The sequence below is a fragment of the Homo sapiens genome, chromosome 15, assembly GCF_000001405.40.
Source record: "Homo sapiens chromosome 15, GRCh38.p14 Primary Assembly".
Lineage (NCBI taxonomy): Eukaryota > Metazoa > Chordata > Mammalia > Primates > Hominidae > Homo > Homo sapiens.
In genome coordinates this window covers 48,310,468-48,335,835 of record NC_000015.10, presented here as the reverse complement: position 1 = coordinate 48,335,835, position 25,368 = coordinate 48,310,468, and the positions used below count along the sequence as shown (strand labels likewise).

The following is a 25,368-nucleotide window of genomic DNA, read 5'->3' as shown; positions in this document are numbered from 1 at the left end:
TTAATTCAAAACTAACTTAAACCACTCCCATGTGACTTCAGTCAGAATTTGTGGTGCTGCAGACAGGGGAGAAGGACTGCTAGAATGAGCTGAAAGGTGAGCAAGCGGGAACAACTGTAGGCTGCTCTTTCAAGAAGTTAAGCCTCAAAGGGGAAGAAAGAGAAGTATGGCCAGCAGGAACACACTACTGAGGAAGAAGACTTTGGTTTTAAGATGGGACACCACAACATGTACAATGCAGATGGGAAGGGAAAGGAAGAGGAAGGGAGAGGGAAACAAACCTAACCAAATAGTAGCAGACCATAGCCTACAACTTGGGACCCCACTATTCATGATTCAGATGCCAAAAGACATGCCTGTAGGAAACACATGAACCAGAGTAAGATAAATGGGCTAATATCAGTTAAGTAAAAATGCCAAAAACTAAGTCTCAATGATTCAATGCTAGTATACTTTTTAATCCTAAAAAATGAAAAAAATAAAAAGCTAAGGTTACACCTTATTATTGCAGACTCAAGCATCAGGCCTATAATTAATTATCCTAACTTCCAGCATTTTATTTTAGAATAATTTAAATCAGGCACTTTGTCAATAATGCTGCCTCTTTCTGTACTAACCTTTATTTCACTCCATCTCCTGCCCCTTCCCCTGAAAAAATTCTAAAAAATGGAGTCAATGATGCTCAAGAGATGAGATGAGAGCCCATCTTGTTATCTTTTAAGGGCTGAAGTACTGGCAGTTTCCTCACTCATGGCTAATAATATAGTGCCAGTCTAGCTCCTTTCCCTGGAGGAGGGCGTCACAGCTCCATTGCCTCCTTTATGTTTACTCTGAAGTTAGTCAAAAAGAACTTACGCTCTTGCAAAGAACTGTCTGGTAACAACTGATCCGCTCCAGAAAAATCAAACCTGTTGACGTGTACTCCATTTTGTCCTAGCTCCTCCCAGTGCCTCTACAACACTGAAGAGTATCCCTTACCCTAACCCCATGGCCAAACAAGAAAAGGTTAAGTAGGCTTACACATTCTGGGACCAACAGGTCAGAAGTTTTACTCTCATAATATAAAATGCCATGTTCTGAGAACAGCCTTCTAGGCCAGTGTGAGCCTAAAAGCTCCAGTGAGGAAGGAGAAAAATAAAAGGGTCAAAAAGAGGCAAAGCAGAGATGTAAATAAAGCCTTTCAAAGAGTGCATTTGCTATCACAAATGGTGCTTCTTTTAGGACACAGCCCAAGCAATATTGCCTGCTTATTACCCCAAATGAAACATGAAGAATCTATCACAAAGGAGAACTTGACAAATAGTTACCTGTTTCTTAAATGACTTACCCACTCTTCCATAACACCCAGAAGGGAGCGCTATCTGAATGTCCGTTTTCACAACAGCTTTCTCCATAGGTGGTATTGTGTAATCATAGGCACTAAGAAAATATTGAAAGAAAATAACTGCAAATCTATTTATAAAATTGTTTTTATATTTTCTTTGTGACCAAGCATACAAAATTACTTTCAGTGTATTTAATGAATTAATGCAACTTTAGTTTCTAAAATCAACCTTGCTATGATGAATTACCAATTCATCTTAAAAGTTTATGAAGAAGGTAGAGGTGGCTATTTTATTATTAAAAAGACAGCTTTAGATAAAATAATTCTCCATGAATATTTTTGGTGGTGTGAAGAGATGTCAACATTGTAAATGTTTGCCCCTGAACAAAAGTTTATTGGAAACTGAGGTACTTATCAGCGTGAAAGGGCAGAAAGGCAAACTTTCAAAAGGTGGATGCTTTACAACCATAGTTTGAAAAGGAAAAAAATGAAGAAAGAACAAAGAAAAAAGGCCAAATACTACTAATAATACTAGCTATCATTGATTAAGCCTTTACTGTGTGCCAGGAACAGTTCTAATTGGTTTACATATATTAACCCATTTTATTCTCACAATGATCTGTGTGATTAGGGAAAATATGCAGAAGGAAAGGAGAAAAACGGGTGGACAAAATAAGAGATAAAGAACTGTGTTGTATCTGTCAGGCAGGGCTTGGTAGTTTACCAAGCTTAGGCTATGAATTTCCTGGCTGAGGGAGACAGCTGATCACCGTGAACGGCCCCTGGAGATGGACCTTGCTTAGGAACAGAATTCCTCTAAAGTCCACATAGCAAATGCTGCTACTCTTGATATTACTGTGGCCCTCTCCTGGGTAGAAATTTAAGAGATTTTACAATGAGCAGAACCGGAAGTTTACTTTGGAGACCTTAATTAACTCTGGTAAAGCAGTACTACCCCTTCTTTCACTGAAATCCCTCTTTAAACAGTTAAGCCCTAATTTATTGCTGATCCATTATTTCCATGTCAATTTCAGTATACAGAAAGTCACCTGTGTTTATTAGGAGTCTACTTAAGGTATCTTAAATCAAGGACTCCCCTAGGACTCAAGAAAGTGCTCCAAAATATACTTTGGAAAGGTCTAGTCAAACTATATCACTCTACTTTTATTCATCAAAATTAAGAGACTGTAGTTTTTCCAGCTACAATTGTCCATACCTACTTTCCTTTTCCTTTTTTTTCTGTTGCTATCATCAGGCACTACTTTCTCTTCTCCTGTGCTTAGACTAATAGTTCTCATGTTTGAATTATCTGAGATACTTTAAAATAAATCCCAATGCTTGGGATTTAGTATAAAATCTCCTTCCCTCTCAGCATTACTTTTCTCCTACCTTAATGGTTCTAAGAACTGGGCACAGTAGTCAGATGAAAAAAAAAAAGCCCAAAATTCGGGATAAAAAATTATATCATCTTCAAGCCTCTGGGGAAATCAATTCAGCTCTTCACAAACTCCTGCCTGTGTAAAAAGTAACACTTATCTAGTTAAGGATTGTTGTGAGGACTAAATACAACAGCATACGGAAAGTTTTTAGTACAGGTAAAACGTGCTGTAGAGATGAAAGTGTGGTAGATTACAGGCAGCTCTGCCTTTCGTTTTCAGATGCCTTCTCAAATTCCGCCCTGGGCCGGATGAATGTATAGAAAATAACTTTTTAAGGCAGATGCATCTTCGTTCATCCTTCTTAGGTATTTTCACGCTCACATCTAGGCTCTCACCTTGGTTTTTCTATTGAGCACAGCATCACCCTCGGGCCACTCGAAAGCCACCATGGGCCTTCCTCTCTATCTTCTATTTAGGAAGGGCACAATAAACGTTGCAAAGTAACGCCTTGCTAGACACCGTATAGCTATTTTACTTATTCTGCAGTCTTTGCCCAAATCTCTATTTAATTTATGCCAAAGATGAAAGCTAAAATTTTAAACACGAAAAAGGCAGAAATCCTATTTATAGCTAGTGTGTTCCTGTGATCTCTCCGGTGACTGTTTCTAGCTGTGGCAGCGGACGGCCGGCCCTTCCCAGCCTCCTCGCCGGCAGGTCCCCGCTCACCTGTACAGGTCGTAGCCCGCGGCGCGCGCGGAGCCCCGGGTGGGGGCCGTGGCGTGCTCGGAGAGCCGGGCAAAGCGGAGCTGCATGCCGCCCACCTCCGCAGGCCGGGCCCGCTTACTGGGTGAAATGGCGGGTGTCTCTTCAGAGCAGGGCATGGCAGAGCCAGAAGGCGAGCGAGGAGACCACCGGGGGAAGAGGAGAGCGCACGATGAGCGTCGCCGCAGGGAGCGCGCCAAAACCGAAATTTCCCGCCAGCCCCGCCCCACCCACCGCCCCTCCCCGGGACGAGTCCACAGTTCTGGCTGAGAGGGGAGGCGGGATTCACATTTTGGGTTTGAAGCCCTTCTCGGAAAGCAGGTTTGGGATGGGAAACTACTGGGTCCCAGTCAACTTTCCACATTCAGCGCGTGGGGCCAACTTTGAAGGGGAGCTTCTAGGGCGTCGCCCTCACACACTAGAAAGCCGCCCCCTCGCCAGGGGACCCTAATGGACCACCCCACCCCCCCCGCCCCCCGCGCGCAGAAGGACCGCTCGCCACCCTACTTCCCCCACAGCCTCAAGCCGCGTGGATTCCTTCCAGACGGCCGGAGCCCCTCCCCCGCCTTTCCTACCCGGCCCCGGCGCCGGGCTTCCCCCCGCCTTAGGAAGCTCGCCCTTCCAGCCAGCGGCCCCGACTGTACTGGCTCCGCGGCAGCCTTGGCTCAGGCGGCCAGCGCTGGACAGCGGCCGGGGAATCCCGTGCTGCGCGGCGCGGCCGAGGGGCGGGCCTGGCCCGGAGAGTACCGCGGCTTCGGCCCTCTGCCGTGCGCCTCGCGCGTTTTGCATCGCTGAGCGAAGCAGAGACGTAAGGAAATGGTAGCAGAGCGCGGGGCGAGGGCAGAGGGGAGTCATTTCCCCCAGAGTTTGGGCTGGTTGGGTCCTCGGCACCTCCGGACGTGCGCCAGGCTTCCACCCTGAAGACGCGCCCGTCCTGGGAACATGACCTCGGAAGCAGTCGCAGCCGCCGCCGGACGAGGGGCGTGGAGAGGCGGTGCCCCGGCAGCCCAGGGATGGCGCAGGCCCTGGGGCCCCAGGAAGACGGCGCCGTTGGCGTCTTGAGTCTTGCTGCCGCCTCTGGCTGCCTAGCCCTCTTGCTTTCGCTCTTCTTGTTTGCTCTGGCCCCCATTTTTCCGAGAGTGTACGCCAGGCCCGGGCCCTGCTCCTGGACTGATTTACCTGGGGCGGCACCGCCCGCAGCCATGACTCCCGGGCTCTGAGTTTAGCGGCGCCCTAAGCGCCGGAACCGCATCTCGGCGCCGGTGACAGTTATTGCGCCCGGGGCCGCTCCCCAAGCTGTGGGCAAGACACCGCGCCCGATTTCCTTTCAGCACCGAGTGTCAGACGTTGTAGTGTTTATTCGACCGGAGGCAGGGAGGGCGCTACTATCCTATCACAGGTTTGGGATAACCCAACAGAAACGCAGTGGGAACCCCTTGGCTAGGAGTCGAACAAGGATCCCGGGTCGTGGTAGTATAGTTTACAGTGGGGGATAAAGCAGTAACTTTCTAGATAGTTGTTAATAATTTTTTCTGAGCTGCAAGTATCTCCTTATTTCTCACAAAAATCTGCGAGCTGAATTGAATGGTTTTGAATTTTCAAAATTAAAAAAGCTGTGGGGCAGTTTTAGAGTATTATTGGGGAAATTTTACATTCGTTGCTATGCCTTTCCATACAGGCCCCCCCTTTTCGGTCTCCTTAACTGGTTCGTCTTCGTAGTTGGAATTCCTTTGCATGAGGCTATGGAATATACACTACCTTCTCTGGACGTTAACTATTAGCTACAGCTTGAGGACTCCCAAATTTATGCCTTTAGCAACACGATCCGAGCCCTGCAACTTTTCGACCTCATTTTGAGCCAACATTATTTTGCTCCCTTATTTTGTTGAAGTACTTTCTCCAGTTATTTACTTAAAATGTTCACATGAGAGACATACTATTTGATTCCTTGCTTGTACTAAGATGTAATGATTGTAACGACTTCATTTTCCTAGACCCAGATAAAAGTCTCGCTTCATTCATGAAACTTTTTACAATCAGTAGTGACCTCTGCCCCATCTTATCTCTTTTAACACTTACTATATCATTCATTAGTCGTTAGCCATATACTTTCATTGTGTAATCTTCTGATGTATATGCATTTTATCTCTCACATGAATTAGAGTCATAAACTTTTATGAATTCTTCAAAGCACTTACTTCAGTGTTTACACAAAAGTTACTTGTTTGGCTTATTACAATATCTAACACCAAGCAGGTTACCTTCTATTTTTTGTTGTTAATCTGTATACATAAAGTGTTTATTGTTACTTTTCAGCTGAGTTTATTTTAGACTAAAAGAGAAACGGCCATAATCTAACTGGCAAAAAGTAATAGGATTCTGAGCCAGTAAGCATTTAATAGAACGTTCTTTATGACAATAGAAATATAACTTGTTATGAACATACACCTTAAATGCAAGATACTGCAGTTAAGAACTAAACATGTTTCAACCATAATTTACTTCATAGTTTTTGTTTTTTTTTTTGAGACAGAGCCTTGCTGGAGTGCAATGGCTCGATCTCGGCTCACCCCAACCTCCTCCCAGGTTCAAGCAATTCTCCTCCTCAGCCTTCCAAGTAGCTGGAATTACAGGCATGCGCCACCACGCCTGGCTAATTTTGTATTTTTAGTAGAGATGGGGTTTCTCCATGTTGGTCAGGCTGGTCTCGAACTCCCGACCTCAGGTGATCCGCCCACCTCGGCCTCCCAAAGTGCTGGGATTACAGGCGTGAGCCACCGCACCCTGCCCTTCATGGTGTTTTCTTTATCAGACTATAGTTATCCTATCAGTCATGCTGATTAATTCAATTACCTAAGTCTAGTGCCAATTTGAACCTTCTGAAAATGCAAGTCAGTACTTGAAAAGCATGGTTGTTTTTCCTATCTTTGCCATTTTGGGGATTTCTCTCTCATTTTAACAAAGATACACATTGTTACTACTTTATGTCAGGTGTATTCTAAGTGCTTTAAAAAATATTAACTCGAGGCCAGGCGTGGTGGCTCACACCTATAATCCCAGCACTTTGGGAGGCTGAGGCGGGCGGATCACCTGAGGTCGGGAGTTCGAGACCAGCCTGACCAACATGGAGAAACCCCGTCTCTACTAAAACTACAAAATTAGCCGCATGTGATGGCACATTCATGTAATCCCAGCTACTCGGGAGGCTGAGGCAGGAGAATCGCTTGAACTCGGGAGGCGGAAGTTGCGGTGAGCTGAGATTGCGCCATTGCACTCCAGCCTGGGCAACAAGAGCAAAACGACGTCGCAAAAAAAAAAAAAAAAAAAAAATTGGCTGGGTGCAGTGGCTCACACCTGTAATCCCAGCACTTTGGGAGGTCAAGGTGGGAGGATTGCTTCAGCTCAGGAGTTCGAGACCAGCCTGGGCAACGTAGGCAGACCCCATCTCTACAAAACATATACAAAATTAGCCAGGCATGGTGGGTGGCAGGCACATGTAGCCCTAGCTACTCAGGAGGCAGAGGTGGGAGGATCACTTGAGCACAGGAGTTGGGAGGCTGCAGACAGTTATTATCATGCCACTGCATTCCAGTCTGGGCAACAGAGTGAGACCCTGTCTCAAAAAAAAAAACTCGTTTAATCATGACAACTAGAGGAAACAAATTCTTTATCCCCATTTTACAGATGAGGATACCAAAGCACAGAGTGATTAAATAACTTACCCAAGATCACACAGATCACAACTAGAAGGAGGTTAAACCACAATTCAGATAGTCTGGCCTCAGAACCCTTGCGTTTAGCCACTGTGCGCTGTAGATTTATATGTCCCCTGTTGAGTCTATGGTAACTCTTTTGCAGTTGTTGATGTTGAGACAAGGTCTTACTCTGTCACCAAGGCTGGAGTACAGGTGGTCCTTCCACCCCAGCCTTCCAGATAGCTGGGACTACAGGCACGTGCAACCACGCCTGGCTAATTTTTCGTACATTTTGTAGAGATGCAATTTCACCATGTTGCCCATGGCGGGTCTCTTGAACTCCTGGGCTCAAGCAATCCGCCTTTCTTGGCCTGCCCAAGTGCTAGGATTACAGGCATCAGCCACTGTGCCTGGCCTTGTGGTAACTTAATACTGACCTTGCTACTGGCTGTGTTTCCAGGTCTGGGAGAGATGTTTGTAGTAAATAAGCCAAGCATTCTTAATTTCACAGTTGATCATACCATCCTTCTTGAAACACTTCCTCCCATTTCACTGGCTGTCTCCTCAGTCTCCTTGGCTCCTCTTCCCTTCTCAACCTGTTATTGCTCACGATAAAAACCCTTGGAGTCTTACTTACCTCCTCTTTCTATCTTAGGTCTTCCCTTACCTAAAAATAGTCTCCTCCTAGGCAGCATCTAATGCTTTACCCTGTTGGGTTTTTCTGCATAGTATATATTGCTATGTAAAATTACATGTATATTCACTTGACTCGTTAGCTGTTTGTTTCCTCCACTATCATATAACCTTCATGATGGATTTAAACCTATCTTAATTTGGGTTTCAGATGTTCCTTTTTAAAACCTTTTCCTGCCTTCTGTGAAATTTACTAAATGTTTTTTATTTCACCTTTCCCCTCTAATTTAGATGTTTTACTCTTTAGTTTTATTATTTTAAATAAATTAAAACATACAGTGTCTAAAATATAAAATTAATCAAAATGATTGTCTTCTGGATAACTCAAGGACCTTAGACTGCTTTAACACCATTAACCCTTCTTTTGACAAATATGCTATTACTGTCTAGTGTATTAAATGTATCTTTTAATCTCAATAAGCATCATTATTTTACTACTTTTTATAGTCATTAAAAAAATATTTACCCATGCTTTTATTACTTTCTTTGCTCCTCTTTCTCATCTCCGACCTCCATCTGGATCACTGTCCTTCTGCCCAAACCTCCCATGGAGAGGATCTCCAATAGACAGTTGAGCTGTCTTAGTTTTTTGTGAGTTTGAACAAAACTCTCAAACTCCTCCTCGGGGGAATATGTTCTTTGGCGATCATTGAGGAATGGAAGAACTGAAAAAATTAATGGAAAATTGTCATCATTTCCTATAACTGAAGGAATCTATATTTCAATTTAGAACATTCCATCATGGAACAAAATACTCATTTATCATGCCACAGTTCACGCTTAATAGAAATATGTGTAAGCCAAAAAAAGACAGAAGCCATACTTTGGGTTCTGGTACCAAAATTTAGAAGTGCTCCTTTGTTTCAAGCCCAGAGGTTTTTATACCATAGGATAAGGTGCCAGTCAGGTTTTGGATAGGTAAGTGTGCCCATCTTTTGCAAAAGGGCAATTGCAATAGAGGAGGTAGGAAGAAGGGCTAGAATATAGGCAGATCAGTTTCAGTAAAAAGTACATTTGTATGTTGACTAGCTGACGGTTCATTCTTATAAAACTGTTTTGTCCAGAATACCATCAGGAAACTCCTTGGAATGTCTTATACTCCCCCGAGAGTATATATGGCTGAATGTGAAAACACTGAACTGGGGTATAATTTATGAAACCCACAAAAATGTTCCTGCCAGGTTCTTGGGAAGAGCACAAAGACCAGATAAATATATGTAGACTTGATTTCATAAGACCAACACAGAACTCTTAAGCATGTAAGTAGCTCAGTAGATTGACATTGAATGGCAGTTAAATAAACAGTTAAGGAGCTAGCAGATAATCAACAAAACAAGCATTTATTTCTGCAAAATTACTTTGGACAAGCTCACAAATGACTGCCTCATTGAACTAAAGGCTCAAAGGGAGCAGAATACTTAAGCCACAAACTCAGAACTATAGTTCTCCCTAATACACTGAATACCCAATCTCTCTTAACAAACATAATCACCATGAAAAGCATACTCTGAATTATGCCAGTGGCGTAGAAGCACTAGGAGCCAAAAGTTCTGTAATTACAGTCCAGAGAAAGACTATTGTTATTTCATTTTAAAGCATCATTGAGTTTTAGGAAGTGAAATAAAAACAGGCCGGACGTGGTGGCTCATGCCTGTAATCCCAGCATTTTGGGAGGCCGAGACGGGCAGATCACTTGAGGTCAGTCGTTTGAGACCAGCCTGGCCAACATGGTGAAATGCTGTCTCTACTAAAGATACAAAAATTAGCCAGGTGTGGTGGTGCATGCCTGCAATCCCAGCTACTTGGGAGACTGAGGCAGGAGAAACACTTGAATCAAGGAGGTGGAGGTTGCAGTGAGCCAGCCTGGATCACACAATTGCCCTCCAGCCTGGGCGACAGAGCAAAACTCCATCTCAAAAAAAAAAAAAAAAAGAATAAGAATAAGAATTATCTTTTATAAGCAGATGGCTTAAGTGCCAGGGTACACAGGAGAATCATCAAAAGAGCTAGAGTAAATGCACATATCCAAGCCCCATCACCAACTGACTACACAAAATCTCCAGGGTGATTCTGTTGCCCACCCCTGGTTAAAGACCACTGCTTTAGGGGATTTATTTCTAGAGAATCTGTGGGGGTCAAGACATCCTGAAAAGAATAATGTCACATATAACCAATATTACCAGCTTTACCAAGTATACTATACTGTGGACCGTTTTAATAAAGGCTCCATTACCTTAAATATAGAGGCAGAGCCAGGGTCTGTGTTCTTAGCAATGCTTCTGTGGTACAATTGTATTAAGAGTAATTGCATGGCTGGCCCGAAGGTAGGGAGTTATCTCAACCGATTGTTCACAGTCAGGAGTTTGATCTGAAACTCCTTGTTCTACTTTCTCCCCTTCTCACTACTATGCTTGACTAGTCTTTAAAAAAATTTTTTTTTAAAAAGAATAACTGCAGACCAGGCAGCATTCAGAATATTTGCTTATTTCTTAGTTTTGCTGAGACTATTAAATAAACAAGTCGCTAACGAGGCCCCAATAGTTAAACAGGACTGCAAGGCTGAAACACTGTAGAATGTAAAGTGAAATTTTAATGTAAATTCTAGTGTAAGAAATATATTTGCTGGTTTTAATTGTTCAAGATTAGATAAGGGGAAAAGAGTAGGTGGAGGGGAATCACATGGACTAAACTGGAAAGCTCTTTAAAAACTAAGTCAACTCTAAGCTCCCACTGTCTCCTCTGGCTTATATGATCTCTTCATATTGTGTCTCCCTCTCTCATCTTTGGAGGGCATCCAATTGGACTGGAAAAGTAAACATATAATGCAGACCGTCTTTATACCTGGTTCAGACATTAATTGTTTGGCTCCATTTGGCTAGAGTAGCAGAACTGGTTTCACTCCAGCACACGGACTATTTTCATAGTAGTAGTAATGCAGTGTAACGGGCAAACACTGAGATTTTGTAAGCTGACCAGCGTATTTCGATTGTTAAATATGTTTGGTGATGAAAACCCTGGAAACTTCTATTGACCCATCAGTCTGCCCAAGGAATCTTTTCAGTTCATCTTCAGTAATATTAATTAGCCTTTCAGCCTGATCTTTGGCTCATAAATTTCAAGGTATGATGATGGAAGCTCAAGCAATGTTCCTGTCTGTAATTATATTAAACCAAACAAGGTAAATATGGACTCAATGTCAGAAACAAGTAACGTCTGGAAACATACATTATAACTAAGGGGCACTAAGTTGCAATTATTGCATCAGAGTTTTGGGAACTAGGAACATTTTAACCCATTTTGTGAAAGCTCAGGAATCAAGATATTCTTCCTTCGAAATACTTAGATATGTCTTAGTTACCTTGGGCTGCCATAACTAAATACCATAGACTAAGTTAAACAACAGAAATTAATTTTCAAACAGTTCTGGAGGCTCCAAGGTCAGGGTGCCATCATCGTGGTGTTCTGCTAAGGGCTCTCTTGTGGGTTGCAGAAGGCCACCTTCTCTCTGTGTACTCATATGGTCTTTCCTTGGATTAAGACCCCACCCTTATGACTTAATTTAAACTTGATTACCTCCCCAAGGCCCCATCTCAAATACCATCAGACCAGCGGTTAGGACTTTAACATTAAATTTGGGAGGGTGGGGCACATTCAGTCCATAACAGGAATCAAGATATTTTTCCTGTAAAATGCTCTCGCAAAATTAATGTGTACCCTTGATCACATGCCTTCGTTATTTCTTAATGTAAAACACGTTTCTTTGCAATATTTTCATTTGGGAATACATTTCAGATCACCAAACATATTTCTGTATCATGGGGCTTCTTTAAAGGGCTTGAAAACTTTTCAGGAGAGCAACAAATACCCCTCTCCCCCATATTTTTGACTCAGGAGAGGTGAGGAGGGTAGCAGGGGAAAGCTAGGATCCTTAGATTTCTCGGCCATATTCTTTCTTTCTGCTGTTTCCTGTCTTTTCTTGTTGTTTAGAGACCTTCTCTTCTTTAAAAACTTCTTCGATCTCACCCTCCCATATTCTGAGCAATAAAGGGTAAGTAAAGAAAAAACCCTGGATTACCAAGAAGGGCATTTCAAAAGTATTATCCCGACTGGGTGTGGTGGCTCATGCCTGTAATTCCAACATTTTGGGAGGTCAAGGCGAGAGAATTGCTTGAGCTTGGGAGTTAGAGACCAGCCTGGGCAACACAGTGAGACCTTGTCTCCACACACACAAAAAACTAACAAATTAGCTGGACGTGGTGGCGCGCGCTTGTAGTCTCAGTTACTTTGGAGGCTGAAGTGGACGGATTGCTTGAGCTTGGCAAGTCGAGACTGCCGTGAGCAGTGATCGCACCACCTGCACTCCAGCCTGGGCCACGGAGTGAGACTCTGCCTCAAAAACAAAAGTATTATCCCTTTTACTTTTAATCAATATGTTAATGCAAATTATTCATAAAATGCTACATGAAATGTGGCCAAGACAATCTGATGAGTTGGCAAATTCTTTTGGAATAATGATGTGATTGCCTCCATGCATTCATTGTATTCACGTATTGCTAATGGAAGTTTTACACTGACAAAAGTTTGGGACATACTCTTTGGTAATAATGGCTTATATATTAAAGTCGTGTCTGTATTGCAGGACTTCTCAGAGTCTTTAATGACCATTGTGAATTTCCAAGCTGGGCTATGTGCTCTGTAAGCATTTCCCAAGCACATGTGGCCATAGAACCATTTTTTGTAAAGGATATATTAGTAGTCTTTTGCTGGTAAGTAATAGAAACTAACCTGAGCTAACCTTATCAACAACTAACATTTATTTGGAAGAACAATGGGTGTATTGTTCAACCTGTTGAATTGAACTACCAAGCCCCAGGAAGAACAGGCAGCTATTGGAAACCTTGCGATTAAATGTTATAACATTTCACCTTGATCTTTGTTTGCAGTCAAATTTGACATCCAGTTTTACTTTTTCTTTCCATTTTTGCTTTTGATTTACATTACGATCCTTTCAGTTATTACAAACCTTCATTAAAGCATGTTGCATACAAGGTTAGTGGCATTTTAGGCTAAGAAGGGATAAAGCGGAGAATGGGAGTATTCTCTCCAAGGATCACATCTCCTCTGATTTTAACCTGATGATGACGACATTGTGCTAAAGGAAATCTTAGAATCCCCCCAGTAATCAACAGAAGTGATCAGAGGCCCCATCTGAGTTGGGGTTTGGAGACTTACGGGGACTAAACAGGAGTGGTTCTGAGAAGAAACTAGGCAACAATGTAGAATTAGATCTTAAAACAAATTGACTCTCAAATAAGCTGGAGGAAAGTGACTCATGAGATAGGAGAGGCATTCCCTTGGCATACACAGTGACTCCCTATAGCTCTGTGAGTTGAACATCCCTAATCTGAAAATCCAAAATGCTCCAAAATCTTAAACTTTTGAGCACCAAATGACACCACAAATGGAAAATTCCTCACCTGACCTCATGCAACTTGTTGCAATCAAGACTTAGACACAAAACACACTGTTTATTCACCATTCCCAAGGGGTTACAGTGCACAGTAACTTTTCAATCAAAACACAGAATTGTAGGTGGAAACTGAGAGCCTGTCATTGTTTGTGACTGCTGTTGTTTAATGGATGATACAGGTGTTCTGGTGGTGCTATTGTGCCACTTAGTTACCCTGAACACATTTTTTCACCGTATTAGTGGTATGTCATATTTTTTACTAAGTACTTATATGTGAATAAGTATAAGAAAATGATTGCTTATTGGTTGCATATCAATTCAAAGTCAGCAATGATGGTGATGCCAAACAACAGGTGACTGTCCATATGGGTGTCTGAGATAGTGACACCTTTGCTTTCTGATGGTTCAATGTACATCAACTTCATATATGCACAAACCTTGCTTCATACACAAAATTATGTAATATACTGTATAAAATTACCTTCAGGCTATGTGTATAAGGTGTATATGAAACATTGGTGGCCGGGCGCGGTGGCTCACGCCTGTAATCCCAGCACTTTGGGAGGCCGAGGCGGGTGGATCACGAGGTCAGGAGATCGAGACCATCCTGGCTAACAAGGTGAAACCCCGTCTCTACTAAAAATACAAAAAATTAGCCGGGCGCGGTGGCGGGCGCCTGTAGTCCCAGCTACTCGGGAGGCTGAGGCAGGAGAATGGCGTGAACCCGGGAAGCAGAGCTTGCAGTGAGCCGAGATTGCGCCACTGCAGTCCGCAGTCCGGCCTGGGCGACAGAGCGAGACTCCGTCTCAAAAAAAAAAAAAAAAAAAAAAAAAAAAGGAAACATTGGTGAGTTTTACCTTTAGACATGAATCGCATCCCCAACATAACTCATTATGTATATGCAGATATTCCAGAATCTGAAAAAATTCAAAATCTGAAACACTTTCGGTCTCAAGCATTTCAGTTAAGGGATGCTTAACCTGTAAATGCTCCCTGGAGTAGAAGAGGTAGACTTTACTTGGCAGGGAGGGAATAGGGAAGTTGGGTTGGTTTCTTGGTGTAAAAAGGTCTGGAGGTGAATAGAAAGGCTTTCTCTGGGCCGGGCGTGGTGGCTCATGAGACCATCCTGGCTAACACGGTGAAACCCCATCTCTACCAAAACTACAAAAAATTAGCCGGGCGTGGCGGCGTGCACCTGTAGTCCCAGCTGCCGGGGAGGCTGAGGCAGGAGAATGGCGTGAACCCGGGAGGCGGACCTTGCAGCGAGCCCAGATCACGCCACTGCACTCCACACTCCAGCCTGGGCGACAGAGAGAGACTCCGTCTCAAAAAAAAAAAAAAAAAAAAAAAGAAAGTCTTTCTCCGAGTTGAGAGAAGACTGAATGATTTTAAGCTTCAGTATTTGCACTCTTCAGTGTGTGGGTATCAATAGGAACATAACTATTTGTAGGTATTGTGAGTAAATTGTTCTGATTTATGTGAAAGATTACTTTTGGGGACTAAAGGAGTTCATAGACTAGAGGAACAGAGTAGGGTGAGATTGTGCAGGCCTTAAAAATTGAGCCGAGAAGCTTATATTTAATGCTATAGGTCAAATACTTGTAAAGCAATGGAACCCATTCTTTCAGCCTAATTTTATTCTGAAGTACACAGTGTAGAACAGTCAGACCAGAACTTTTGCCATTAAAATAGGTGCATGGTGAGCCTCCCATCTTCCCCCCTTGGCAGGCCCAAAGAGGACACCACAGATCTGATGTTCAGAGGTGCTTAGTTTGAAAAATTGCCATTTGTAGGCTCTTGGACAGGGGAGTAGAATGAGTAGAGTAATATTTGACAAGAGTTTAGTGGAATGAGATTTTCTAAGATGACGTGGAGACTAAGAAGCTGGAGGCTGGGGAGACTGGAAATTTTCTATTGTGCTAATCCAAGCTTGAGGTGATGAAGACTACACAGTCCAAATTTTCTATTGCTGCTGTAAAAAAATTACCACAGCCTTGATGGCTTAAACAATACAAACTTCTTACCTTGCAGTTCTTTAGGTCAGAAGTCCGACATGGGTATCACTGGACTAAAATTAAGATGTTGGTAAGGCCGCCCTCCCTTCTAGAGGCTCTGAGGGAGAATCCATTTTCTTGCTTTTCCCAGCTGCTGGGCTGCCTGCATTCCATGCTTTGTGACCTCCTTCTTCCGTCTTCCTCGCCAACGCAGCAAGTTGAATTCTTCTCATGCTGCCACTGCCACCTCTCTGGTTCTATGTCCACAGCTGAGAAAGTTTCTTCTCTTTCAAGACTCATGTGATTAGAGTGGCCCCACCCAGATTATCCAGGATAATCTCCCCATCTCAAGGTTGGTGACCTTAATCACATCTGCAAAGTCACCTTTGCCATGTGAGGTAATAAAATTCATAGTTCTGGGGATCTGAGTGTGGACATCTTTGAAGGCCATTTTTCTGTCTACCACAAGACTTAAAACGGATATTTTAAACAATCAATAGGACTTCCCTTTTAGCTGAATTGATGGCTCAGTAAGTCAATTTGATATGGAAATAGGGTAGAATAGGTGGAAGAAGATATTGAGATGAATTATTGGTGATTTGGGTAATTTTACCCCTTTTTAATCATTGTAAGACTTGTGAAGGTCTCTGTATGCCTGCTTGCTGCCTTTAGAGAAACAGCCCTGTAGTCATGAAAGCAGTAATCTGAGTGTCTTGGGAGAGCTTTCAGATCTGGTATCAATAAGCCTTTCAAAAGCAGGCCTGATCTGTTTCTGAGTGTCCCCAGGGATGGACTTACTTTCCCACTTTCCCCAAGAACACTAGTGCCTCTCTTGTTGGCTCCCAGTTGCTAGGGTAGCAGAGAGGGCATTTTCCTCCCTCTTCTCTCCTTCCCCTTTACAAACCCCATCTCAATCAGTCTGATTTCCCAGATGGAGCAAATGGGGCCAGGGAACAAGATATGACAAATGATTGCCAAAGCGCAGTAGAAGATGGCTTTGGGATTGCACTGGAATTGGTAAATGGAGATCCTGGTGTCCACTGGGCAGGTGATTTGGGTGCTGGTGAAGGTTGTGGCAATCATTCTGAGCAGAATGTGCCTGTGAGAGCCTTTCTCTACTATTGGGGCTAATTCCAGGAGAAAGGATGCCTAGTTAAGACACTACCTTATATGATTTTGATCCCTTTATTTCTCAGTCTCATTGGTTGCACCTGATTTCCTCTATGACATTATACAACTATTGTATAATTTTTTCTGCTGGTAGCACATGATTTTTCCAAATTAAAAAAAAAGAAAAAGGTTATACTTTTCATCTATGTCTGTGTAAACAAACCCAGTAATTACTATAACTCAAATTGCTGCTGAAACTCTCCATATTTTAATGTGCACACTGTTGCACTTGTTACTAAATGTCTGCATATATACTGGGAAGCTAATCCTGAATTAGGAAACTGAAAAACTGATTAAAATAAAATTGGGCCAAGTCCATGATTTTTATATTCATAAGATTCAAATTTTCTGTGAGGAAATGTGCAATATGAATTGAATTATCTTCCAGAGTAATAACAACAACAACAAAAAGGAAACTTAAGCAATGGCAAAATATGGGTATCTGTGCAGGGAGACGTATGAATTCCGCTTGTGGTTTCGGGTGATTGTGATTCCGCATTCTGCCCTGGTGAAACAACCTTTACTTACTAGACTGCACAAACTCAATTCTCTTTAGTCCAAAGTGGGTATTATCCAGTTCTCCTATAGAAACGTTTTCTCAAATTTTAGAATTTTACCAAAATAATTTTTCCACTGAACTTTGAAGACAGCATTATTAATCTTCATAAGTGTTTTAATCACTTTCTTTCCTGATTGCCTTTAGGACAAAAAAGCAGTTGTAAATGTTCAAAAAAAAGAAAAAGAAGTCAGGAAGGTGAGAGTTCATTATTTTTGTGCCTATAGGCATAGGCTAGCTGAAACTGAGTATTAAGGAAATCATGTAGAAAATTCAAGTCTCTGCATTTTCTTTTAGTAAATTGTAATAATTGGACTATCCCTAACACACCTTTGTTTGTTCCCTCCAGGCCCACTCTCTGTCCCTTTACAGTTTGTTCGCTGTCCAGGCAGCTGACCTGTATGGGCATCACCAACGAGCTCCTTTGTCTTGTGGCTTCAATGTGGGTTAAGACAATGGAGAGCCCCAGCAGGAGACCAGAGGGAGAAGGGCGGGAAAGGTCAGGTGGGCGTTAAACCTCTACTGAACGCCACTGCTCTTGTCAAGTTGCCTTGTCTTCCAAGCTCTAGAAATGATGCTCTCCCCTTTTCTCTTCGGACCTGGCAAAGGGAAGAGCATCACATTATTCCCAGCTTGTAGGTACTGGACTCTCCCTTGTGGTTTTGGGCTTCCATTTCTTGCCCACATCTTTATGAATAGTCCCTTTAGTAAACCCTCCTCAAGTTATCCTAATTTGACTGTGTTCTCTGTTTCCTACTGTGACCCACACAAAGACAGAATCTGGTTCATCCAGCCCTACTAATTCTGTATCTAAACAAATCTGAATTATTCTCCCATTCTGAGGCCACCATCATTTCTTACCAGGACTGGTTTTTTGTTTTGTTTTGTTTTTGTTTTTGTTTTTGTTTTGAGATGGAGTTCTTGTTCGGTCGCCAGGCTGGAGTGCAGTGACGCAATCTTGGCTTACTGCAACCTCCGCCTCCCAGGTTCAAGCCATTCTCTTGCTTCAGCCTCCCGAGTAGCTGGGACTACAGGCATGCAACACCACACCTGGCTAATTTTTGTATTTTTAGTAGAGATGGGGTTTCACCATGTTGTCCAGGATGGGTTCTATCTCCTGTCCTCGTGATCTGCCCACCTCGGCCTCCCAAAGTGCTGGGATTACAGGCGTAAGCCACCACACCCAGCTACCGGGACTGTTAACTAACCTCCCTGCTTTCACCATTTATGGCTTAAAATCTTCTAAAGGTTTCCCATCACACATATAATAAATCCCCAATTCCCTGTCATGGCCCAAGGCCCTGCATGATCAGACTGTTATTGTTCAACTTTCTCTTGAGTCACACTCATTTCCTAGGTTCCAGAATATCTCAAGTCCTCTCTTGCCTGGGGGCTTTTGCCCGTAGTGTTCATTCTGCCTGGCCTGTTCTACTCACTGTTCTTCACATGGGTAGCACCATCAAAGACAAAAACTGAATAAGTAAGGAGATTGATTTTATTTTGGCTATTGCAATAGGGAAAACACCCCAGATTTGAAGATTAGAGTATGTATTTATTTTCTATTACTGCTGTAAAAAATTTTCACAAAATTAGTGACTTAAAACAATAGAAATTGATTCCCTTACAGTTCTGGAGGCTAGAATTCCAAAATGAGTCTTCCGTGCCAAAAATCAAGGTGTCTCTGGTGCCACATTGCCTCTGGAGAGATGCAGATTCTCTAAGGGAGAATCTGTTTTCTTGCTTTTTCCCATGTCTAGAGCTGCATTCCTTGGCTCATGGCCCCTTTATCTTCAAAACCGGCAGTGTAGCATCTTCTGTCTGACCCTGCTTCCATCACATGATTTTCTGCTTATAGTCAAATGTCCCTCAGCTTCCCCCTTACAAAGATACTTGTGCTTATGCATGTGGTGCTTAATACCTAGGTGATGGGTGGATAGGTGCAGTAAACCATCATGGCATGTGTTTACTTATGTAACAAACCTGCACATCCTGTACATGTATCCCAGAATTTAAAATAAAATAAAGTAAAATAAAATTTAAATTTAAAAAAATACTTGTGCTTTTATTTAGGACTTAGCCAGATAATCCAGGATGATTGCCTCATCTCAAGATCCTTAATCACATTTGCAAAAGCCCTTTTTCCATGTAAGGTAAAATTCACAGATTTCAGGGATTAGGACCTGGATATCTTCAGGGGCCGTGTTCAGCCTACTACAGTGTATCTAGCAGGATAGTTTTGTTTTAGATTTTTTCTGTTTGTTTGTTTTTTTGAGACAGAGTCTTACTCTGCCACTCAGGCTGGAGTGCAGTGGTGTGATCTCAGCTCACTGTAACCTCTGCCTCCTGGGTTCAAGCAATTCTCCTGCCTCAGCCCCCTGAGTAGCTAGGATTATAGGCACCCGCCACCATGCCCGGCTTATTTTTTTGTATTTTTAGTAGAGGCTGGGTTTCACCATGTTGGCCAGGATGGTCTCAAACCCCTGACCTCAAGTGATCTGCCCACCTTGGCCTCCCAAAGTGCTGGGATTACAGGTGTGAGTCCCCACACCTGGCCTTGTCTTAGATTTTTATAGGGAAGAGTAGACAAGTTATAGGTGGAGTAAATTTAAAGTTGGGATTGTTTATTTCTGTGTCTAGTTAGTTTCATGAGGACAAAACTTATCTCAGCTAATCATCCATGAGACAAAGAATAAAGTTAGAAGGTGTCTGTCTGACCTTATGTGCAGGCTCAGTTTAAAGGGGAAAAGTCTGGGTTTGACCTTGTCACAGGTAAACAAAGGAATCATCTACAGTCTTGTAGGAATCATGAGAAAGAGTTGGCAGTGTCTTGTCTAAGTCATATAGGGAATGGTGGTTGATTTCAGTTAGCCATTTCTAGAACACAGAAAGCTGGGGAGACTTCTTAACGATTGCTGTGTTCCAGGAGCACAGGGCTCCGGTAAAGTTCAACACTGTCAGCACCTTCTTATCCTTATGTGTTTTTCATAGACATCCTCACTGAGTACCCTAATAAAGTATTACTATTTCCATTATTCTCTGTCACACTGATACAGAACAGCTGGGCTCCTGGCTAAACCCCCTCCCCACCCCACCCTTAAGCCTGGAACCACAGCCCTAAGTGAAAATAGCTGACCCTGTTTTTCCACCCAAATGTTACTTTTTTGGCCTGCCACGCCCCTATCCTGTTGACATAAAAAGACTTCAACTGGCAGAGCAACACAAGCAGCGGAGCGGTGGGGGTACAAGCTGCTGAGCATCAAGACTATGGATAGATGTGGCTAACTTCAGACAGTGTGGCTTCAGGGAAAGATCACCTTCTTCCCACACCCATCCCCTTTCCAATTCCTTATCCTGCTGAGAGCCACTTATATCACCCAGTAAAATCCTCCGCATACACCAACCACCCTTCTATTCGTTCTTGTGGCCTGATTCTTCCTGGATGCCCGGGTACGGAGAGGGCAGGGGCTTGGATGCTGCTATAGGGCCTGCACAGAGCGTGCTCCTGCCAGAGAGGAGTAATGGGCCAGTTCCAGTGTTGTCTCCGGTTGCTGCACTCGCTTGCTCGCAGGCTCTCTTTTGGGAGGAGTGGCCGACAGTGGGCTGAGTGAAAGGAGCCTCTCCAGTTCCCGCCCACAAAGGGCATCAAGGTCAACAGAGTTATCCTGTCTCAACACTTTCTCTTTATTTCCTTCACAGTATTTTTCACAATTTGTAATTATTATGTGTAACTTGTTTTCTTGTCTGTCTAAACCTTTAACTTTTTGAGGGCAGGGAATGTGGATGCCAATATCTTAAGAGCTCAGAACAGTGTATCTTTGTGTCTTTACAGCCTGACACATTTTTGTTGAATCAATTGACAAAAGAACTGACACCAGATGGCCAATCAACTCAAGAGAAAGTGAGTATAGTAGTGAACTAAATAAGGATAAAAATAACAGTGATTGAAAAAAGAGGCTGGGCGAGGTGGCTCACGCCTATAATCCCAGCAGTTTGGGAGGCTGAGGTGGGCAGATCACAAGGTCAGGAGATTGAGACCATCCTGACCAACATGGTGAAACCCTGTCTCTACTAAAAATTAAAAAATTAGCTTGGCGTGGTGGCGGTGCCTGTAATCCCAGCTACGCTGGAGGTTGAGGCAGGAGAATCGTTTGAACGGGAGTGCGAGGTTGCAGCGAGCCGAGATCGCACCATTGCACTCCAGCCTGGGCAACAGCGTGAGACTCCGTCTCAAAAACATAAAAAAAAGAGTGAGGCTGGGTGCGGTGGCTCATGCCTGTAATCTTAGCACTTTGGGAGGCCAAGGTGGGCAGATAATTTGAGATTAGTTCAAGACAGCCTGGCCAACATGGTGAAACTCCATCTCTGCTAAAAATACAAAAATTAGCCGGGCATAGTGGCGCATGCCTGTAATCCCAGCTACTTGAAAGGCTGATGCATGAGAATCGCTTGAACCTGAGAGGCAAAAGTTGCAGTGGGTTGAGACATGCCACTGCACTCCAGCCTGGGTGACAGAGCGAGACTCCATCTCAAAAAAAAAAAAAAAAAAAAAAAGAGAGAGAGAGAGAGTCAGAAATCCCAGGCAGCAGGATAAGCATATTCAGAGCTCTGGAGAGTACAGAGTGTGTGGTGCGTCAGGGCATAGCTGGTGTGGAAGGGCCCTGAGCAGGGCAGAATGCGGCTTCATAGTGAGTCAGAGACCAGACCCCAAAGGAGTTTCATACTTGCCATGTCCCCTCAGTGCCCTGTATTAATTCATCGTTCCAACAAATATCTGTTGAATGTGTTCCATGTGCCAGGCACTGGTCTAGACTTTGAGGATATGGCAGGGAACAGAACAGACAAAATAAGTCTGACAACAGATAGAAGATGTGATTCAAATGAGTAGTGCCGAGAGTTAAGGAGAAAAGTAAAGCAGGGAGGGAGGTATGGGATTTAGACTTCTGATTTCAGAGAGGGAAGCCAGGGAAGGCCTCAGTGAGAACATGCTATTTGCTGATTGTGGGGCTGGGGGCTGGGGGTTGTTTTACCTAACTTGAAGGAAGTGATATCTTGGGGAAGGGCATTCCAGGCAGAGGACACAGCAGGCACTAAGGTCCCAGGGTGCAAACTCACCTGTAAGAAGGCCAGTGTGGTCTGAACAGTGACAGAGGAAGGCGTACACAGTTGTAGGTGTTGAAGTCGCAGAAATAGGTGGATGGGGTGCAGGGGTAGGGCCTTGTAAGCTCTTGTAAGGACAGTGGCTTTTCCATGGACTGAAATGGGAAGCCATTAGAAGATTTTGGTAACAGGAATGACAATCTCTAGTTTACTTGGCAGGATTGCTTGGGTTGCTATGAGGAAGAGGAGGAGTAAGGCCTGATGTGGAAAGACCTTTGAGAAGATGTTGAAATGAGGCAGAGGAGGAGCTAGGCCTGATGTGGAAAGACCCTTGAGAAGGCTCCTGCAGTGATCCAGGTGAGAAATGGTCCAGTGGCAACATGGGTCAGAGAGGCAGAAGTGGAGATGGTGACAAGTGAGTAGATTCTGGATATATTCTGAAGCCAATAGGATTTGCTGATAAATCAGATGTGCGTGTGAGAGTCAAAGATGACTCGAAGATTCATGGCAAGGATAGCATTGTCATGCATGGAGATGAAGGAAGAGTGTTAAAGAGCACCTTTGGGAAGGAAGAGTAAGAGCTCACTTTTGGACACATTAAGTCAAAAGTGCACAAATAATACTTTTTTTTAGTAGAATTCATTTTGTAAATGTATCTTTGAGCATTAGGAAATCACAGTATGGTGATCTGTTTCCAATGTGCGTGTTGTGTTAGCAGCTGGAGTTGTTTAATATTTTTTTTTGTATTTGTTTTTGTTTTTTGTTTTTTGAGACAGAGTCTTGCTCTGTCACCCAGGCTGGAGTGCAGTGGTGCAATTACAACTTACCGCAACTTCCGCCTCTAGGGCTCAAGTGATCCTTCCCACCTCAGCCTCCCAAGTAGCTGGGACTACAGGCATACACCACCACACCTGACTAATGTTTGTTATTATTATTATTATTTTTTTTTTGTAGAGACAGGGTTTCACTGTGTTGCCCAGACTGTTCTCGAACTCCTGAGCTCAAGCTATCCTCCTGCCTCGGCTTCCCAAAGTGCTGGGATTACAGATGTGAGCCACCGTGCTTGGCCTAACATCTTTAAATACCTGTTATTTCTTACTCCTCTGAACTTCTCACTTTCCCTGAGAATAATTTTACCACCTCTTTGTTGGGCAGAAGTGCAATAGGAACATCAGAAAGTGCAAGTACATAATAACAGAGAAGTCAGTCTCTTTTTCTTCATCTCTTGGGCATCGAAAAGAGCAGATGATCCAGATTTGAAAGTCTGGGAAAGCCATGCTGTGTGAGAACAGGGGCTTGCATGACAACAGAGGGTTGGGCTTGAGCCCCCAGGGTCTGCAGCAGTCTCACAGTTTAGCAGTTACTTATGCCTTTCTCTCAAAGTCAACTGCTGAGTTTTGTCCCAAACTACCCTCTGCTGCAATATGTCTCCCAGGCTGAGGAGGAAATTAGTCTTCTTATCCCAGTTGTCATTGCTTGTCACCTTCTCTGAAGCAATGACATTCATGACCTGGTTCTTGGCCTCAACCTCTGAGAAGTTCTCCTTTCTGCATTCCTCATCTTAAATTACTTAACCTGAAAATATACTGTTTAAATCTTACACTGGAGCTCCATATACTCTGCTTAACTGCAGAAAGAGTCTGTCTATGTAAATTAATTTTCCAGATAACTGAAGCTTAGCCATCTTTTGATGCCAGCCATGTGGACGAGAATTTTTCTGAGGGTGAATTGCAGTGCAGGTATCCTTGCTTTCTTAACCAGGATACATGGAACAAAATTGAGCTTTTCTGCCATTAGTCTGTCCTCTTACAAAGTAATGATGTCCTCAAGCTCTACTGGGGTGTGTAGAATCTCTTTCACGTTTTTGACCTCAGATTGCTGCAATTTTGTGCTCTATATTTCCTTTGTTAAAAGTTTTTCATGTTTTGCTGCATTATCCCTGGTGTCACTTATGGCTAGTTACTGCTCATTTAACATTTTGTTGACTGAAAAACAATGTAACTAGAATTGTGTGCAAATGTTCTGTATGGAAACATCATTTTAGTACTTGAGGATCTCTGAGGTCTTTTTCAGGTTTAATTTATTTTTATGGTTCTAGATATCCCTCCAAATGAATATGATCTATTGTGCATGCACAGAGAGTGGAACTTTTTGGGGGACACTTCATGGACCATTTTTAACTTATCTAACTCCCAGCTTGGCTCTTCATAGCTGATATATATGATCTCTAGAAATGTGAGATAGCAATATTGAAGGCAGGATTCTAAGATGGCCTGTGTAATCTCCTCCTCTTGAGTCTGGGAGGGACCTGTGAGTATGGTGGGGTGCCCCTCTAATTATTAGCTTACTTTATAAGGAAAAGATGAAAATTTTTGCAGATATAATTAAAATCCTTAATCTGTTGACTTTAAGTTTGATCTTTTTAAAAATTATTTTATTTTATTATTATTTTTTTTTGAGAGGGAATCTTGCTCCCGTTGGGCAGGCTGGAGTGCAGTAGAGCGATCTTGGCTCACTGCAACTTCTGCCTCCCGGGTTCAAGCAATTCTCTTGCCTCAGCCTCCCAAGTAGCTGGGATTACAGGCACGGGCCACCACACCCAGCTAATTTTTATATTTTTAGTAGAGATGGGATTTTACCATGTTGGCCAGGCTGATCTCTAACTCCTGACCTCAGGTGATCCACCAGCCTCTGCCTCCCAAAGTGCTAGTATTACAGGTGTGAGCCACCATGCCCGGCCTTTAAGTTCAATCATAAGGGAGATTGACTAAAGTGGGCCTGACTTAATCAGGTAAGCCCTTTAACAGAGGGTCTAGAGTTTAAAGATTTCTCCCTGGTGGCCTTAAAGACGCAAGCTGCCATGAGTTCTATAGCAGCAAGAAAATTAATACAGCTGCCAATCACTTGAGCTTGGAAGAGGATCCTGAACCTCAGAGGAGACTGTAGCCCTAGCTAAAATCTTGATTCCAGTATAGTAAGATCCTGAGCAAAGAACCCAGTTAAGATATGTCTGGCCAGCCATAGGGCTCACACCTGTAATCCCAGCACTGTGGGAGGCCGAGGCAGGAAGATTGTTTGAGGCCAGGAGTTCTAGACCAGCCTGGGCAACATAGCAAGACCTTGTCTCTACAAAAAATAAATAAAATAAAATAAAATAAAATAAAAGATATGCCTGTACTCTCGACCCATGGAAAGTGTGAAATAATAAATGGGTACTGTTTTAAACCA

The 25,368-nt window shown here is 43.2% G+C and overlaps 1 protein-coding gene and 2 long non-coding RNA genes across 7 annotated transcripts in view, besides 7 other annotated features; 2 read left to right on the top strand and 1 right to left on the bottom strand.

Moving 5' to 3' along the window:
• DUT (deoxyuridine triphosphatase) overlaps positions 1 to 4,741 on the bottom strand; it is a 12,279-nt gene extending 7,538 nt beyond the window's left edge. Inside the window, exons 1-3 of one of the 4 annotated variants that reach the window (NM_001330286.2) lie at positions 4,645 to 4,741; positions 3,430 to 3,568; positions 1,328 to 1,419 (exon numbers count right to left, since the gene is read on the bottom strand). In NM_001330286.2, coding sequence (NP_001317215.1) covers positions 1,328 to 1,419; positions 3,430 to 3,568; positions 4,645 to 4,669 — 256 coding nt within the window. In that variant the 5' untranslated portion in view covers positions 4,670 to 4,741. Of the gene's footprint in view, positions 1 to 1,327; positions 1,420 to 3,429; positions 3,640 to 4,040; positions 4,413 to 4,644 lie in introns of those variants that run through there. The other 3 variants (NM_001025249.1, NM_001025248.2, NM_001948.4) reach the window with 3 other exon arrangements.
• Positions 3,630 to 3,924: a silencer, noted in NCBI's record as "tiled region #3998; HepG2 Repressive DNase unmatched - State 1:Tss". NCBI's record gives its function as "represses a minimal TATA promoter and a strong SV40 promoter by Sharpr-MPRA in HepG2 cells {active_cell/tissue: HepG2}" and the evidence as "EXISTENCE:reporter gene assay evidence [ECO:0000049][PMID:27701403]".
• Positions 3,630 to 3,924: an enhancer, noted in NCBI's record as "tiled region #3998; K562 Activating DNase matched - State 1:Tss". NCBI's record gives its function as "activates a minimal TATA promoter and a strong SV40 promoter by Sharpr-MPRA in K562 cells {active_cell/tissue: K562}" and the evidence as "EXISTENCE:reporter gene assay evidence [ECO:0000049][PMID:27701403]".
• Positions 3,630 to 4,372: a biological region, named in NCBI's record as "Sharpr-MPRA regulatory region 3998".
• Positions 3,848 to 4,372: an enhancer, noted in NCBI's record as "H3K27ac hESC enhancer chr15:48623661-48624185 (GRCh37/hg19 assembly coordinates)". NCBI's record gives its function as "activates a minimal SCP1, AML or CMV promoter by ChIP-STARR-seq in naive H9 embryonic stem cells {active_cell/tissue: H9 hESC(naive)}" and the evidence as "EXISTENCE:reporter gene assay evidence [ECO:0000049][PMID:30033119]".
• Positions 3,975 to 4,184: a silencer, noted in NCBI's record as "silent region_6415". NCBI's record gives its function as "represses an Ori minimal core promoter by ATAC-STARR-seq in GM12878 lymphoblastoid cells {active_cell/tissue: GM12878}" and the evidence as "EXISTENCE:reporter gene assay evidence [ECO:0000049][PMID:35858748]".
• On the top strand, positions 3,980 to 25,368 carry DUT-AS1 (DUT antisense RNA 1). Of its 2 annotated transcripts, NR_186809.1 has the most exons (3): positions 3,980 to 4,273; positions 20,873 to 20,941; positions 23,095 to 25,368. It is a non-coding gene; the product is annotated as a DUT antisense RNA 1 (long non-coding RNA). The 2 variants fall into 2 exon arrangements; NR_186810.1 differs by lacking the exons at positions 20,873 to 20,941; positions 23,095 to 25,368 and adding an exon at positions 5,144 to 5,491.
• Positions 4,373 to 4,899: an enhancer, noted in NCBI's record as "H3K27ac hESC enhancer chr15:48623134-48623660 (GRCh37/hg19 assembly coordinates)". NCBI's record gives its function as "activates a minimal SCP1, AML or CMV promoter by ChIP-STARR-seq in naive H9 embryonic stem cells {active_cell/tissue: H9 hESC(naive)}" and the evidence as "EXISTENCE:reporter gene assay evidence [ECO:0000049][PMID:30033119]".
• Positions 6,178 to 6,368: a silencer, noted in NCBI's record as "fragment chr15:48621665-48621855 (GRCh37/hg19 assembly coordinates)". NCBI's record gives its function as "represses an EF-1alpha promoter that drives an FKBP-Casp9 reporter gene in an ReSE screen in K562 erythroleukemia cells {active_cell/tissue: K562}" and the evidence as "EXISTENCE:reporter gene assay evidence [ECO:0000049][PMID:32094911]".
• LOC124903486 (uncharacterized) lies at positions 14,661 to 19,112 on the top strand. Its single transcript, XR_007064625.1, has 2 exons — positions 14,661 to 15,669; positions 17,191 to 19,112. It is a non-coding gene; the product is annotated as an uncharacterized LOC124903486 (long non-coding RNA).